General features: G+C 44.0%; 2 protein-coding genes and 1 pseudogene across 7 annotated transcripts in view, besides 4 other annotated features; 2 read left to right on the forward strand and 1 right to left on the reverse strand.

Annotated features, from left to right (window-relative positions):
- Positions 1-6,414, reverse strand: part of FAM117A (family with sequence similarity 117 member A) — a 78,779-nt gene extending 72,365 nt beyond the window's left edge. The window contains exon 1 of the mRNA XM_047436858.1: positions 6,367-6,414. The gene's annotated coding sequence lies outside the window, so the exon portion shown is untranslated. The remainder of the gene's footprint in view (positions 1-6,366) is intronic.
- Positions 5,133-5,906: an enhancer, noted in NCBI's record as "NANOG-H3K27ac-H3K4me1 hESC enhancer chr17:47865191-47865964 (GRCh37/hg19 assembly coordinates)". NCBI's record gives its function as "activates a minimal SCP1, AML or CMV promoter by ChIP-STARR-seq in naive H9 embryonic stem cells {active_cell/tissue: H9 hESC(naive)}" and the evidence as "EXISTENCE:reporter gene assay evidence [ECO:0000049][PMID:30033119]".
- Positions 5,133-6,054: a biological region, named in NCBI's record as "NANOG-H3K27ac-H3K4me1 hESC enhancer GRCh37_chr17:47865191-47865964".
- Positions 5,755-6,054: an enhancer, noted in NCBI's record as "active region_12371". NCBI's record gives its function as "activates an Ori minimal core promoter by ATAC-STARR-seq in GM12878 lymphoblastoid cells {active_cell/tissue: GM12878}" and the evidence as "EXISTENCE:reporter gene assay evidence [ECO:0000049][PMID:35858748]".
- Positions 5,985-13,694, forward strand: part of KAT7 (lysine acetyltransferase 7) — a 46,346-nt gene continuing 38,636 nt past the window's right edge. For all 6 annotated transcript variants that reach the window (NM_007067.5, NM_001199155.2, NM_001346706.2 and 3 more), the window contains exons 1-2: positions 5,985-6,153; positions 9,190-9,337. In NM_007067.5, the coding sequence (NP_008998.1) occupies positions 6,139-6,153; positions 9,190-9,337 (163 nt within the window). In that variant the 5' untranslated portion in view covers positions 5,985-6,138. The remainder of the gene's footprint in view (positions 6,154-9,189; positions 9,338-13,694) is intronic.
- Positions 6,275-6,324: an enhancer, noted in NCBI's record as "active region_12372". NCBI's record gives its function as "activates an Ori minimal core promoter by ATAC-STARR-seq in GM12878 lymphoblastoid cells {active_cell/tissue: GM12878}" and the evidence as "EXISTENCE:reporter gene assay evidence [ECO:0000049][PMID:35858748]".
- On the forward strand, positions 12,647-12,973 carry SRP14P3 (SRP14 pseudogene 3; annotated as a pseudogene).

Here is a 13,694-nt window from a genome sequence, read left to right on the forward strand (position 1 = left end):
AAAAAAAAAAAAAAACCCTTTGTGGCGGCAATGAGATTAAGGATGTCTTTTATTTTCCTCAAATTTTCATTTAGTGTTATTACACTGTGTTAATCATTTTGAAATGGTGGAAGGGGGTTGAGGGCAGGTGAAAGTGCTCCTCTAGCCCCTTCCTGTACATACTTGTCCTAAATTGACAGAGAGGAAAGACCATGTCTGCTTATTCAGCTTCTGGCCAATGCCTAGCACCTATCAGGTGTTAAATAAACATTTGTTGAATGTATAAATGAAAATGCCTGCAGTCTAAATGTCTCAGCCCATGGTGACCGGGTACTTTCCACCCCGGCAAATAGAGCAATTTGGTTTTGCTGGAATAAAAAAATGAAGGTTTATCCATAATGGCAATTCCCTGGTCTTCTTGGTAAGTGAATGTGGGCATGGAGAACCCAGGAGAGACAGTCTGTTAAAGAAAACCCAATTACCATTGTGGAACATATGTTGCCCTGAGGCCTCTGCTGCCATAACAACATCTTGTAACTATAACTACAGCCCTGGAGGGCTTTGGCCCCATAGAATATGGAAAAGGATGTCTTCATCATAAGACAGCTTTGTGCTCAGATTGACTTCCCTAGGGAGCTTGGATCAGGGAAGGGAGGTAGATAAGTGGAGGAAGGGGGGGAGATGAAGGGCAGAGGTGGGAGAAGAACTGCTATTGAATCAAGATCAGAGTGATTTTTTTTTTTAGCGATTTTCAAAATGTGGTTATTTGACTGTTTAGCTTTGGTGGTTATTTATATCCCCAGCTGCAGAGGCAGGGAGCTGTGCCTGAGCCTGCTGGGATCTGTCCAATAACTTCTCCCAGGGTGGGGCTGCGGGTGGGGGCTAAGGGTGCTACAAGATCCAAATTAGGTGGCCAGAATGTAAGAGAAGCTCCAGGCCATCTCCAGCAAGAGTAAAGAAGAAGGGCCTATTAGTGACTGTGCTGACCATTTTTAAGGCAGCTGCAAATGAAAATATTTTAATAGGAATTACGGTCACATCAGCAACCTCTGAGATTCTCCCAAAAGGATAGAGACTAAGCCAATACTTTGCCTCAGAAGTTATGAGATTGACCTGGCTACACTAGCATTGTCTTTAAAAGGCCAAGGCATGCTTCCCCCACCTTACAAGACTGCACACAGAGGAAATGGCTATCCCTAACCCCTACTAGCCACCTCACTGGTCAGAAAGAGGCTTAGAGGAGAGAGCATGGCTGGTTCTGTGCAAGCCTTTCCTAGCTGAGTCAACAACTGGCAGTGGGGTGAGAAACATTCAATTTGGTGCCACCCCAATTACTAAGCCCTTTTGGGTGCCAGTCAGCAAGGGAGAAGCTGGAGATGCTGTGGCCATCCAGGCAAGGCTCCTAACCTCTGGAAGAAGCAAACAATGAACAACTACATTTTGTATTTGAAATATGGTACCTATAATTTTACTGTCAAGGAAACACTTTAAAGGACATCAAGGGATCTTTTAGGCAGCTTACAAAACTGAGGAGGCAAGAGACTGATACAAGTAAGGAAATAACACAAGCACATACACACAAAAGATTGCCCCCACTCCCAGTGCCTATTTCAGTCTCTCCTTGTCTCTGGCTAAGGCTATTTCAGCAGCCTTCTAACTGGTCTCCTGCCTTGGGTCTCCCTCCTACTCTGATCAGTGCCCTTCACAGCTGCCAGAAAGAGATTGCTAAAATGCATGTCTGACTGGCGGCCTCCTCTGCTTAAGGACTTTCAGAAATTGCCTACCACTTCCAGTTCAGTCTCCACAGAAGGGTGCTGAACACTCTGCATGAACTGGTTCCCAAAACCATGCCTCTTATGTACCCTCCCCGGCACCCATAGATAATGCTCCTCCACACCTCTCTACTATTGCACATTCTGTTTTCTTTGCATGGAAAACCCTTATATTGTCCTTGTTTACTGGCAAACATTCATCCTGTGAAATTCCACTCTTGCTTCACGTCTTTTATGAATCCTTTCCTAAACTTTCCAGATGAAACACTCTACCTCCTCCTCTGTAGCACTTCTGAACCTTGCTTATCTCCCTATTTTCCCATGTAATACTCTACAGTGTTTTGTAAGTGTGTGCTCACTGGCTTGTCTTCCCTACTGGATTCTAAGCTCCTTTAGGGGAAAGTTGGTGTTTTGTCCATGGGGTATAACTCAGTGCCTGGTACCTGGGTGATTAATGCCTGGGTAATCACTCTGTATGTCTTCAGTTAAAGTGGTTGAACAGAGGTTGAACAGAGTTAAAGAGGTTGAACAGATAAAAGCAAACAATCACTGAGACCATGTAAATATATAGTCACTAACATTAGAATGTTATAGCCATGATTAGAGTGACTGGAAATATAAATAACAATAGCCATTTATTGAGCAATTACTCCATGTCAGGAACTGTGCAAAGAGCTTTACAACACTCATCTTCTTTATTCCTTACAACCTTGTGAGGTGGCTATTAATGTCCCCACATCACAGGTGAGAAAACTGAGACACAAACAAATTTAAAACTTGTCCAAGGCCGGGCATGGCTCATGCCTGTAATCCCAGTGCTTTGGGAGGCTCAGATGGGAGGATGGCTTGAGGCCAGGAGTTCGAGACTAGTCTGGGCAATGTAGCAAGACCTCATCTCTACAAATAATTTAAAAATTAGCCAGGCATGGTGGTGTGTACCTGTAGTCCTAGCTACTCGGGAGGCTGACGTGGGAGGATCGCTTGGCCCAGGAGATCAAGGTTGCAGTGAGCTATGATTGTGCCACTGCACTCCAGACTGGGTGACAAGAGTGAGACACTGTCTCTTAAAAAACAAAAAACAAAAACAAAAACTTGTCCAAGAGTAATGCAGGTAGGAAGCAGCAGAGCGGAGATTAAAATTCAGATCTGACATCAAAGCCCTGTACTGGACACTAGTACAGCTGATGATACAATAAACATGATTTATCTATGTTTCTATTATCTGTTTGGGAAGGGAAATGAACAGAATTATCTACCAAATTGTACAAGGAAAATAACAAATCCAGCAGTTAAGTGCAAAATAACATATCATTACGCCCTACTACCTTACAAAGAATGAATTGGAAAAGATTTTCTGAAAAAATAAAATTTTATTGAGGGTTAGGAGATGCATCCAGGCAGGAAGAAAAGCCTGAGAAAATAGAAAGGCAAGGAGAACTGTCGAGAGTGTCAACGTGAAGTCTGGTGATTGAGGATAGCCAGGGGGCAACCAGTCAGAGGCATTGAAATCAACATCAGTTCCTGCTTGGAAAGCTAATTGTGTTGTGATGAACATGACTCTCAAAGTAAATATTATATTTGGTTTTTTAAAAAAAGAAGAAGAAATAAGCTTTTAAGATCCTCCCCTTCCCCATTCTAAATATACCTGGCTGGTCTACTTTCAAGTACTATACACATTTTTTTCCTTATGATCATGTTTCTATCCTACTGGTGTTAGTTTTTTCATCTTTCTGCCAGAGTGTACACTTTCCAAGGACAAGAACCATATCTAAATGAAACTGTAAACTCTTTAGTGTCAGCTGCAGTCTTAGGGAATCTAGCATAAGAAATTAACTAACGTCGAACATCTGTAATGCTGGTATTTGTGTGACGGATGCAAGTCAGGATAAGATCTTATTCTAAAACACTAATTTCCAGGGAGGATAACTTCACCATCTCTGAGCGCTATACATTCAGAGACTGTAAAACAGTAATGATATTCTTACTGAGTAGCAAGCATTTACTGTGGGAAGAACGAGGTTTGAGCACCATTGGAAAGGATGGTATGAGCCAGGCGCAGTGGCTCACACCTGTAATCCCAGCACTTTGGGAGGCTGAGGCGGGTGGATCACCTGAGGTCAGGAGTTCAAGACCAACCTGACCAACATGGAGAAACACTGTCTCTACTAAAAATACAAAAAGTAGCCACATGTGGTGGCGGGCGCCTGTAATCTCAGCTACTCGGGAGGTTGAGGCAGGAGAATCGCCTGAACCCGGGAGGCGGAGGCTGCGGTGAGCCGAGCTCGTGCCATTGCCCTCCAGCCTGGCAACAAGAGCAAAACCCTGTCTCAGAAAAAAAAAAAAAAAAAGAAAGGCTGGTATGGCTGGGAGTGGTGGCTCACACCTTAATCCCAGCACTCTGGAAGGCCGAGACAGTAGTTCAGCTCAGTAGGTCGAGACCAGCCTGGGCAGCATGGTGAAACTCTGTCTCTACAAAAAATACAAAAATTAGCCAGGTGTGGTGGCACACGCCTGCAGTCCCAGCTACTCGGGAGGCTGAGGCAAGAGAATCCCTTGAGCCCACGAGGTGGAGCTTGCAGTGAACTGACATCCAGCCATTGCACTCCAGCCTGGGCAACACAGCAAGACTCTGTCTTGAAAGAAAAAAAAAGAAGAGAGAGAAAAAAAGTAGGATGGTATGAAATAACTGAGATATGCTCTTAATGTAAGAGATCCTTACCACCAGTTGGGGAGCCAGAACATTCAAATGTAACCTCAGGAACATATCCGTGAGTGCAAAATAACAGAGTAATGTATGAAATTAAATGCTTAAGTGGTGAGGGGCTACATGAAATTAAATGCTTAAGTGGTGAGAAGTAATGTGAACCATTTTCAAATAAGTTCTTACGTGCAGTTCAACCTAAGTAGGTTATCAAAGGTATTTATACTAAGCACTAAAAGCTAAGTATTAAATACTAAAAGCTGCCTGTGTCAACACTGGCCCAGGACATCCCCAAGGAGAGTGCTGGCTAAAGGTCTGGAACTTTAAATCTTTAGAGTTCTTTACTTAGCACATCAATCAGATATTTACCTTCTGCTTCTTTGTTCTTTAGCCCTGCTCCTGGGGGAAATCTCCATCTTAACGGGGCCTCAGTTTGAAATTGGGGTTCGGGATCCTAACTTAATGACTGAGCGTGCCTGGGTTCCACCCAGTCGCAATTGGTCAAGACTTGGTCCTCTCAAGGCCTTTCCTCCGGAGAGGTTAAATCCTCAACGCCTGCTCTCCACTTTCCAGCCTTTTCTTAAGGCTCTTCTTTCAGCCTAGTATCTGTGACCAACTTCTCCTTCCTAGGCCCTCTCATTATTATTTAAATGTCCATTCTTTTGGGGGCTTCAACTTCACTAAAAACATTCCTTCCTCTTCCTCCGCCTCGTAACTCTCTGCTCAAGCATCTGGATGCCAGAGGTCATTTGAGCTAAATGGGGTTCAAAGCTTTTCTGACTCTGGTACTGCATTCCCCACTTTCAAATCACATTTTTCACCCCAGGGCCCCCAGTGGTCTCAAACCCAAACACAGTGCGGTTAGGAAGTGGGCACTCGCCACAGAGCTAAATTGGGAATTATTTGACCTGCAGCTTCTGGAGAATGGTTTTGCCTCCTCCCCGCGACATCAACTAACTCACTTGCTGTTAGCTAAGGGCAAGGACAATGTCTCCTCTACCAGACAGGAAACTTGATGGCGGACGCTATCCGTTAGTTCCTTTTTCAATTCCCCATTCCCACCCCTTCGAGACCACGATGTTTCTTAAAATACAAAGTTTCTTTTACAAAACATCCCTCCGCAACTTTGAGTTTATATAATAAACGGAAACGTCCTTTAAACAATCAGGCTACGAAGGGGTTAAATCTAATCTCAGCAACCTGATGGATTCTGGGGGGTTTCCTTCCTCGACTCTAGAAATTAAAACGAAATTTTGCCCAAGGTAAAGATGAGAACCGTTTACATCAACTGTCAGGCTTCTGCCCCAAACAAGAATGGCTACCCACGCCCACAAACAGAGCCACTCACGTAACTAAAAATGGTTGGCTCCGGGTTCCACCACTGGAGTCACTTTCTGCCCAACTTCAAAATGGCGCCCACTAGCTTCACCAAAAGGATCGAACTTCCCAGCACCCTCTCTGGCCCGTAACGTCAGGTGACGCGAGACCCAGCCGGAAGTGAAGGAAAAAGCGCTTCAGCCCGCGGCGCCTGCGCAGAACGCTCCAGACGCTGAGAGGCAGGAGGCACTAGGGATCGTCCGCAGGATTGGGACTGATACAGAGGCCGCCACGGAGCCCGCCGGAGCCACCGTTCCTGCTGCTGCCGCCGCTGCCCGAATCGGAACCGTCGGGCCGCAGCCGCCGGCAATGCCGCGAAGGAAGGTGAGAAACGGGAGAGGAGGGATGGCGGGTTTCTAAGGACAGTCGATTGAGCACCGTGACGCAGTTGGCCACGCCTCACAGTGCTTGGGTCCCAACTTTCCGCTCCCCCGAACCTTGTTCAGCTACCCTCTCTTCTGTCCATACCCAACAGAAAAATGTGGGCCCGACCCTGGCCTCGGCCTATGCTTGCAACTATTCCCGCCCTCTGCTTGCCTGGATCGGAGGCGTTCTTATTAATTGGTCGCTGAAACGTCTGGAAGCATATTGATTGGCTGGTGACGCCGCCTGTTTGGGCTCAACGGTCACCTCCCCGCGTGCGGGGGCGGTGTCTGGCCCCGGCCCCAGCGCTCTCCCACTGGCTGGAGAGAACGATCCCTCCTCTCCTGATTGGTCGAGGTTGGCAGTCTGTCCTGTGGGGGCGCGGCTTAGGCGGACCTCGATTGGGTGGCCCGAATCCCCGCCTTTCCGAGCGGGGACGCTGATAGGTGCAGAGGCGGGGTTTTGGAGGCCTCGTTACCTTCCAGGTGAGGGGCACAACAAAGCAGAAGACTGGGTGGTGGGAAGCCAGCGCCCACTCGCAGGGGATCCCTCTCAGGCCAGTTGCCTCTTTCCTTATTTGCTAGTTCGACAGCGCCTAGAAAATGCAGTTGGTAAAAACTAAAAACTTCTAGAATTAGAAGGCACTTAGAAGATCACCCAGGAATGGCCCCGTCGTTTCTTCTTACAGCTGAACTAACGGAGGCCCATGGAGTGCCGCAAGCCACTCAGGCAGTGGCAGATCCAGAATATAGAACAAATCTAACTCAATTCAACAAATGTCTATTGACTACTTTCTGCGCGGTGGTTGCTGTGGATTCAGAAATTAATTAGATGTGATCCCTGGCTTAAGGGTGTCACAGCCCGATAGGAGAAAACAGACATGAATAATCTTAGAAGGATCTAGTAAGTTCTCAGCTTGGAGGTGTATACAAGGTGTTGCTGGAAGGAAGTGAAGGAGCAGTTAAGTCTGCCCTGGAGTACAATGGGAGATATATTGGTAAAAGCCACAGAGAAGAGCTGAGTTCCAGGATCAAGCCAGGAAGGAATAAGTCTCACGTCAAGGCTTTAAATATCTCGGTAATTAGACTATAATGGTGACTTTTAAGATTCCCCCTTCATTTCAGCCGTTTTCTGTGATTCTTGCTCATTTCCTGGCAGGTTACCCTTAAGATACTTGGAAAACTGGGTGGTATTCTTGCTCATATCAATAGAAATCTTTCTCTTCACAGCGGCTTTTCAGGTTGAAAATGTACACTTTTTAATGTCTCCTAAAATGACCTCAGCTGGTGGGTGGTATGTATGTGTTTTTTTGTTTGTTTGTTTTTGAGACGAGGTTTTGCTCTTGTTGCCCAGGTCGGAGTGCGATGGCGTGATGTTGGCTCACTGCAACCTCCGCCTCCCGGGTTCAAGCGATTCTCCTGCCTCAGTCTCTCTAGTAGCTGGGATTACAGGCGGATTCCATGACGCCCAGCTAATTTTTGTATGTTTAATAGAGACGGGATTTCACCATGTTGGTCAGGGTGGTTTCGAACTCCTGACCTCAGGTGATCCACCCGCCTCGGCCTCCCAAAGTACTGGGATTACAGGCATGAGCCACCACGCCCGGCCGGTGGTATGTATGTAAAGGCTCACCAAATGCAGGAATAATATTGGTGCCTTGAAATAGGGCCACAGTCCTCTTTCTTAATTTCCCAAATACCGGGAGTTACTTGAAAATGTACATTTTTTTAGTAACCTGTTTGGCGGCAAACCTGTCTTAATCTGTCCTGAGGCTACTTATGGTTTTTGTGTGTCTCATTTAGTGTGACTGTTTATATTTTTTGCTGCAGAAATACTATTATGTTTTGTTATTGGGTGGTATTTGCAGGATACATGCAAAGTACTCCCCTTCTAAAAATCCAAAACAATTACAAATTCTAAACACAACTGGCCCTCAGGGTTTTGAATAAATAATTGGGACTTACAGTGTGAATCTTTGTATTGTTTTCAGTAAATATTTTTTCCTTTCTGGTTTTGTAAAGGGTATAGTGTTAGTGCTTAATTGATAAAAGTTATCTTTATGGCTAAGAAAGAACTCCTCAGGAGGATAATAATTGACAAATCCTTGCTCATTGAAAAGATGGTTTTGAAAACAACTGTTTTTGAATACCCATGAGTCTTCATGTGCAAGCTGCCTTTTTGGAAGATAGATGGCTTTCATGTGGAGAAACGTCAAGGATAGATGGCATACGCACTAACAATTTTCATCTTTTTCTGCTTAAATTCTTTTGGGATTAGAGTTGTGGTCCATGATATTTTGAGATAGTGTATGGTTTTTAAAAAATGTGATAGCTTTTCATGGAGACATTGAACAAAAGCTACTCTAAGTTAAATGAGGTCCAGCACCAACGATTTTCTCACTACAGTGGACCTTTTTTTGTGATATTGATCTCCAAATGGTCTTGGTTAATACTTAGTACTAATACAGTAAGAATTAATTCTCTTCATGGCCGGGTGTGGTGGCTCACGTCTGTAATCCCAGCACTTTGGGAGGCCAAGGCGGGTGGATCACCTGAGGTCAGGTGTTCAAGACCAGCCTGGCCAACATAGTGAAACCCCGTCTCTACTAAAAATACAAAAATTAGCTGGGCATGGTGGCGGGCGCCTGTAGTCCCAGCTACTCGGGAGGCTGAGGCAGGAGAATCACTTGAACCCGGGAGGCGGAGGTTGCAGTGAGCCACGATTGCGCCCTTGCACTCCAGCCTGGGCAATGAGAGCGAATGAAACGGAAGCTCTTCATTTATTTAACAAAATTCCCTATTTGTAGGTTGTTCCATTTAAGTGTTCTAAATAAAGTGAAGTTGCCTGAGGGGGTGGGAGGATGAGAAATGCTTGTGGAATCCTTATTTAGGTTTGAACTTGGGGTTTTCAGTGTCACAGCTTGTTTTATTTTCAATGTTAATGCAAACTCTCAGACCAAATGCTTCTGTGCTAATATCTGGATCTATGGTATTACAGAGGAATGCAGGCAGTAGTTCAGATGGAACCGAAGATTCCGATTTTTCTACAGATCTCGAGCACACAGACAGTTCAGAAAGTGATGGCACATCCCGACGATCTGCTCGAGTCACCCGCTCCTCAGCCAGGCTAAGCCAGAGTTCTCAAGGTAAAAAAACCTTCATTTTTCCTTACCACTCCTCACATCTGGCTGACTGGCCCATCACATTATTTTCCTAGTTAATGTGGAAACTGGCCCCTTGGCTTGGTGTAGATGACAGTGCACCAGATGATTGGTAAAATGTAGAGTGAATGCAGAGTTGTCAGGTCTTTAACAATGCCTCTGTGGGGGGCTACTATCCAATCTGTAGACCCAAAGGAACTGCGGATGGTATAATGGATAGAGACACACGTATGTCTTGAGTCATTTGTTTGTTTGTTTGTTTGTTTTTTTAGATCGCAGTGTCTCCATCAGTAAAATTGGAATGTTATCCCTTCACTTTCTGTTTGAATGTTTGAGGCTTAGGGACTTGAAGTCCAGATGGTATCTGATTTATGGTGGCTTGATTTAATTTTTTTTTTTAACTTTACAGTGGTGCTAAAACAATATGCATTCAGTGGAAACTTTTAGAATTTTGAATTTCGGTCTTTTCCTGGGCCAGTGATATGTGGGCCAAATATTTTCTCATGTTGCTGAGTGGTGGCAATGAGCCATAATAACTCCAGTCAGTGAGCCGTAACTCCCAGTCAGCCATTTGATCATGAGGGTAAACCAGTACTCTTCAGTGTACTGTCTTTAATAAATTATATGCAATATTCAACACTTTATTAAAAATAGGCTTTGTGTTAGATGATTGTGCACAATTGTAGGCTAATGTAAGTGGTTTGAGCCTATTTAAAGTAGGCTAGGCTAAGCTATGATGCTCGGTAGGTTAGGTGTATAGCGGTTTTTTTTATTTTCTGGAGACAGGGTCTTGTGCTCTGTTGCACAGGTTGGAGTGCAGTGGTGTGATCTTGGCTCACTGCAGCCTTGACCTCCTTGGCTCAAGTGATCCTCCCACCTCAGCCTCCTGAGTAGCTGGGACTACAGGTGCACGCCACCATGCCTAGCTAGTTTTCTTTGTTTTTTGTAGAGATGAGGTCTTATTATGTTGTCTAGGCTGGTCTCAAACTCCTGGACTCAAGCAGTCCTTCCACCTTGGCCTCCCAAAGTACTGGGGTTATAGATGTGAGCCACCATGTTCAGCCTGTAAATGCATTTTTAACTTATAATACTTTCAACTTATGATAGTTTTATTGAGACTTAACCCCATTACAAGTCAAGGAGCATCTGTAGTCTCTTGGACTTACTCTTGGCAGAGGCCCACTTCTAAAACCATGTTTAACTCTGGAATGTAATCCAATAAACACTTGATAGATATTAATAGTTGTACCAAAATATCAGTGTGGAAATAATGGAATTTTGCTTTGGTAATAAGGAATTGAGAATCTTGGGGTTGGAAGGTAGTTTGAACTATCTCTAGTGCATTTAGGCATCTGGGGTTAGATTTGGAGGGTACCCTTGACCCTCCTGGCTCTGCTCTGGTATTCCCTGAGGAGGAAAGAAGGTTGCAGCTAATACAGAAAGCCGATGATCAACAGGTGATAATAGATGAAGGGAAAAAAACTTTAACATGTTTTGAGCACTTCAACAGTGTTGCTTTGGTTAATTTTTTTTTTTTTTTTTTTTGAGATGGAGTCTAGCTCTGTTGCCAGGCGGAGTGCAGTGGCATGATCTTGGTTCACTGCAACTTCCGCCTCCTGGGTTCAAGCAATTCTCCTGCCTCAGCCTGCAAGTAGCTGGGACTACAGGTGCACGCCACCGTGCCCAGCTAATTTTTGTATTTTTAGTAGAGATGGGGTTTCACCATGTTGGCCAGGATAGTCTCAATCTCTTGACCTCATGGTCTGCCTGCCTTGGCCTCCCAAAGTGCTTGGATTATAGGCATGAGCCACCGCGCCCTGCTGCTTTGGTCACTTTTATATGAGTATGTTGCACAATGAGAGAAAAACCATCAGTTTTTCAAGCAAGAAAGTGGGAATATCCTCTTTAACAACTGTTCCTAACTTTATTTTTGAATTTAGGATTTCAGCTAAAGTATTGCTATTGTCTCTTGATTTCTTAAGCTTTAAATTTTTACCACAATGAGACTATGGATAAATAGCTACTATAACTCAAGCAGTATGTTATGTACTAGGAACCATGATAGAAAAATCATAGTTCCTGTCCTCAAAGATCTTACAGTTCAGTGCAAGATACAGATATGAAAATTGATCATGGGAATACATTATGGCAAGGGCTGTGAGAGGGGTTTGCATAGAGTACTACATAAGCCCAGAGGTGGGACAGCCAACTTAGGGCAGCACTCCCACAATGATGAAGTCTTTTTTGTTGTTGTTGAGACAGAATCTCGCTCTGTCGCCCAGGCTGGAGTGCAGTGGCATGATCTTGGTTCACTGCAGCTTCCGCCTCCTGGGTTCAAGGAATTCTCCTGCCCCAGCCTCCCAAGTAGCTGGGATTACAGGCGAGCACCACCATACCTGGCTATTTTTTGTATTTTTAGTAGAGACAGGGTTTCACCGTGTTGTCCAGGCTTGTCTTAAACTCCTGATCTCAAGTGATCTGCCCGCCTCGGCCTCCCAAAGTGCTGGGATTACAGGCGTGAGCCGCCGTGCCCAGCTGCACACTGAGATGTCTTAAAGGCTCTGATAGGAATTTACAAGTTGAAAGATGGGAATATGTTATTCTCGGCAGATGGAACAGCATATGCTAAGGAAAAGACATAATGTTTGTAGGAAGTATAATTGACCATGCCCTAGACACCTGAAAACTAAATATTCAAAACAGCTAGGAAATGCGTAAGCACTGAGTCTCTTTCTGGTTATCATACCTCATGACCACAGAGTTGCACAACTCCAGGGGTACCATTTACAATGTCAGCAATGTAAGGTGGTCCTCCCTAGAGCACAAGGTAGATCATATTGTGAAAGGAGGCCCCTTGGAGATGTACAAATGGATAACCTTGCTCTGTGCTAACTTTTCTCACCCGAAAGTTTGGAAATTTTCAGTTTTCTTCTTTAGAGAATCTATAAGATTTCTTCAGATTTTTTTTTTTTTTAAATATACGTTGGGGGGTGCAGCCGTGAGAGAGTGAGGCTGACACCGCGCCCTGGCCTGTGCATCCCGCCCTCTGAAAAAAAAATTAATTAATTAAAATAAAATATACTTTAGAGAGGATTTTGACTGTTCTCACCACAAAGAAATGACAAGTGTTTGAGATATGGATATGCTAATTATTTTGATTTCATCATTACACAATGTATACGTCTATCAGAACATCACAGTATACTCTATAAATATGTACACTTACATGTCAATTAAAACAAAACTAAGACTGCTAGGGGCTTACACGGAGGGAATTGAGCCAGCATCACCACGATGGTGTTGTTGGAGAGTGAGCAGTTCCTGACGGAGCTGACCAGACTTTTCCAGAAGTGCTGGACATCGGGCAGCATCTATATCACCTTGAAGAAGTATGGTGGTGGAACCAAACCCGTTCCAAAGAAAGGTTCTGTGGAGGGCTTTGAGCCCTCAGACAAGTGTCTGTTAAGAGCTATCGATGGGAAAAAGAAGGTCAGCACTGTGGTGAGCTCCAACCAAGTGAATAAGTTTCAGATGGCTTATTCAAACCTACCGAGTGCTAACATGGATGGGCTGAAGAAAAGGGACAAAAAGAACAAAAGTAAGAAGACCAAAGCAGCAGCACAGTAAAGGGCACAAATTTCCTGCTTTCACCAATTAACCACTGAATTGTTATTTTTTCCTTTGGTTTTTACTTTTGGCCACATAGCTAGGTTTCTGGTTCCCCTACACTAGGTGTTTTCACATAAGATGTAGGGTCCTTTTGCAAAGAATAGTTGCAATGTTTATAGGGCAGTTGTGGTAAGAATCTAGTTTATTTTACATTTGGCTAATTGGTCTGTACTGCATGGTTATATACTCCTGGATTATAGATTAAAAGTCTCTGTAGTCATCTCTGTGAAGAGCAAGCTATGATTAAACATGTCTCTTTATAAAAAAAAAAGCACAAAAAAACTAAAACATATCTACATATATTTTTTAAAAATGCTTTAATTTCAGCTTTGAATTTTCCTTCATTTCCTTTGTCCTCAGGTTGGAGATATAAAAGGGCTGCTGAGTGCCTCAGAATAGGTTTTTCTATCCAAAAAACTTAAAATGCTGCATTCCTGCTTTACCTTTATGAATCTATTATGACAGTGCCAGAGAGGGTAATAAGAAAGAAAAAAAAATCGGCCCCTTAAGAAAGGAAATCGTTTTGTTTGTTGTTATATCTTTGGTAATAGAATATCTGTTTTATGGTGGGTTAGAAAAAGGGAAGAATGAGAGGATGCAGTTAATATTTATAAAGCACTCTGTACCACGGATCATGTTAAGTGCTTCACATGCATTATCTCACCTATTCCTC

This window comes from Homo sapiens, chromosome 17 (genome assembly GCF_000001405.40).
Source record: "Homo sapiens chromosome 17, GRCh38.p14 Primary Assembly".
Lineage (NCBI taxonomy): Eukaryota > Metazoa > Chordata > Mammalia > Primates > Hominidae > Homo > Homo sapiens.